The 3,230-nt window shown below is 35.5% G+C and overlaps 1 pseudogene; it reads left to right on the top strand.

Moving 5' to 3' along the window:
* Positions 1,522–2,920, top strand: HNRNPA1P46 (heterogeneous nuclear ribonucleoprotein A1 pseudogene 46; annotated as a pseudogene).
* The last annotated feature ends 310 nt before the right edge of the window (positions 2,921–3,230 follow it).

Raw genomic sequence — 3,230 nt, 5'->3', positions numbered from 1 at the left:
TTCCCTAGTACTCTGTTAATGTATGTATATGCCATATCTCCCTACTATTAGAAAAATCATAGAAGGTAGAATTATTATTTCAGTTTTATACATCCAAAAACATATATTTGAAAAGAAGTTTAGTGCCTGGCCCAAGCGCACATATCTAATAAGTAACAAACTTGGACACATACTAAGAACAATATGAGCCCCAAATCCATATGTTTGGATACTATCAAGCTTCACTATGCTTTACAAGACCCTTTATTAATAGCCCACTTCTAACCTACTCGGTTTTCATCTCACTCCTGTTTCTATTACTTTTCTATTTTAAGGTAATATGGCACATCTCTCTATCACTTTAAGACACTATACTCTTTGATTTATTTGGGCTTTGGCTGATAATCTCTGTTCTTCTTCACGTCTTTCATTTCTATCTTGTGAATGTCCTGCTAAGTTTCAAATGGCCTTACCACTTAGTTTGCTTAGTTTTCATTATTTTGTACTCCCACATACTCTAGTTCTTCTATCAGGGTGTTTATTATTAAAAATGTATTTTATGTCAAAGCATAAGAGGCTATCTCTTGACACCCAATATGTGCTCTGTCTCGTGTATGTTTCTATAAAAACGTCTAGCCCACATGAGCAGAGGATGATAGGCTGGCTCGAAGGAAAGAAAAGTGAGCCTGTAGACTTGGGATTTAATCTCCAACTAAGATAGTAACAATGTTTCAGTTTATTTTTTATGCAGAAATTAAATATATTGCACAAAAACTCTATTTAGTTTCCAAAATGATGCATTGATGGCACTATTTAATTGAAACATAATAATAAAAGAACTAGTCTAACATTCATGATTATCACACTGCATGAGAAATAAAATATATTTTAATATACTGATATTCAAAGCAAGCAAATGGGATGAATCATGAGTGAGTGTCTTTCTCAAAAAACATTATACATACACGTATGTATGTATTGTGCATGTGTGTATTTGTGTGTGTATATAGCATTATATGTAACAGTTTTGCAAAACTTGAACTACATAAAATGTTAAATGAATTTTTAATATTTATATGTTTCAGAACTATTGACAATACAAAAAATGTGTTATGATCCCTCACAGAACCAAACAGAAAGTCTAAATAAAATGGATTGATGGCAACTTTAAAAAACTAAACTTTGTTTTTAAATTAAAAAGTTCAATTACAGATTTCTTATACATTTTCATTTAAACATCAATTAACATAAAACAAATTTGTTTTATATTCCCCAGGGACTCAAAGTTAAATTGGATTTTACTATCCAAATAAGTAAACGAAATTGGTAAAAGTAAAAATTAATAAAGTTTTTGACTTGCAGAAATTGATTTATATATTAAGCAAAAGATTAAAAATTAAGTGGGTCATAGAAAAGTGTTTTTATGCAAAGGGATAGAATATTCTGACAGATGTTAAAATTATGCTAATAGTAAAATCATGTTTTTAGTTGGCTTAAAATACTTTACATTTTTAAGAAGTTTAATAATTTTACAAAATCACACTTTCTGCCTGTGGATGGCACCCAGGAAGCATTGTCAAAGTCTCTCTTCTTCCTGCCGTCATGTCTAAGTCAGAGTTTCATAAAGAGCCTGAACAGCTGAGAAAGCTCTTCATTGGAGGGTTGAGCTTTGAAACAACCGATGAGTGTTTGAGGAGCCATTTTGAGCAATGGGGAAAGCTCACAGACTGTGTGATAATGAGAGACCCAAACACCAAGCACTCCTGAGGCTTTGGGTTTGTCACAAATGCCACTGTGGAGGAGGTGGATGCAGCCATGAATGCAAGGTCACACAAGGTGGATGAAAGAGTTGTGGAACCAAAAGGAGCTGACTCAAGAGAAGACTCTCAATGACCAGGTGCCCACTTAACTGTGAAAAAGATATTTGTTGGTGGCATTAAAGAAGACACTGAAGAACATCATCTAAAAGATTATTAAGTGATTGAAATCATGACTGACAGAGGCCGTGGCAGGGAAACAGGCTTTGCCTTTGTAACCTTTGATGAACATGACTCCGTGAATAAGACTGTCATTCAGAAATACCATACTGTAAATGGCCACAACTGTGAAGTTAGGAAAGCCCTGTCAAAGCAAGAGATGGCTAGTGTTTCATCCAGCCAAAGAGGTTGAAGTGGTTCTGGAAACTTTGGTGGTGGTTGTGGAGGTGATTTTGGTGGGAATGACAACTTTGTTCATGGAGGAAACTTCAGTGGTAGTGGTGGCTTTGGTGGCAACTGTGTTGGTGGTGGATATGGTGGCAGTGAGGATGGCTACAATGGATATGGTAAAAATGGAAGCAATTTTGGACATGGTGGAAGCTACAATGATTTTGACAATTACAACAATCAGTCTTCAAATTTTGGACCCATGAAAGGATGAAACTTTGGAGGCAGAAGCTCTGGCCCCTATGGTGGTGGAGACCAATACGTTGCCAAACCACAAAACCAAGGTGGCTCTGGCGGTTTCAGTAGTGGCAGTAGCTATGGCTGTGGCAGAAGATTTTACTTAGAAAACAAAGCTTAGCAAGAGAGGAGAGCCAGAGAAGTGTCAGGGAAGCTGCAGGTTACAAAAGGTTTGTGAACTCAGCCAAGCACAGTGGTGGCAGGTCCAATGAAGACAGTTTTAGACAAATACTGCTGTGTATGGGCAAAAAACTCGAGGACTGTATTTGTGACTAATTGTATAACAGGCTATTTTAGTTTCTGTTCTGTGGAAAATGTAAAACATTCCAACAAAGGGTTTTAATGTAGATTTTTTTTTTTGGCACCCATGCTGTTGATTGCTAAATGTAATAGTCTGATCATGATGCTGAATAAATGACTTTTAAAAAATATACCATGTAAAGTTAGTCTACTCCGAAGCCATTTTTGTAAATTTCCCCAAGAGTGTGAAGTTTGAATTCCTTCAAGGTGATGCCAGGTTCTATTTGGAATGTATATACCAATAGCTTGGGTGGAGAAGCCATTGTCTTCAGAAACCTTGGTGTAGTTGAACTGATAGTTACTGTTGTGACCTGAAGTTTGCCATTAAAAGGGATTACTCAAGCAAAATCATGGAATTATTGGTTATAAAAATCATTGTTGGCAAATCCTATGCAATATATCTAAATCAAATAATGGTACCAGATAAAATTATAGATGGGAATGAAGCTTGTGTATCATCCATTATCATGTGTAATCAAGAAATGATTTAATTCTCTTGAAAATAAATAA

Source organism: Homo sapiens, chromosome 1 (assembly GCF_000001405.40).
Source record: "Homo sapiens chromosome 1, GRCh38.p14 Primary Assembly".
NCBI lineage: Eukaryota > Metazoa > Chordata > Mammalia > Primates > Hominidae > Homo > Homo sapiens.
Note: the sequence above shows the minus strand (reverse complement) of the source record. Positions and strands in the feature narration are given on the sequence as shown.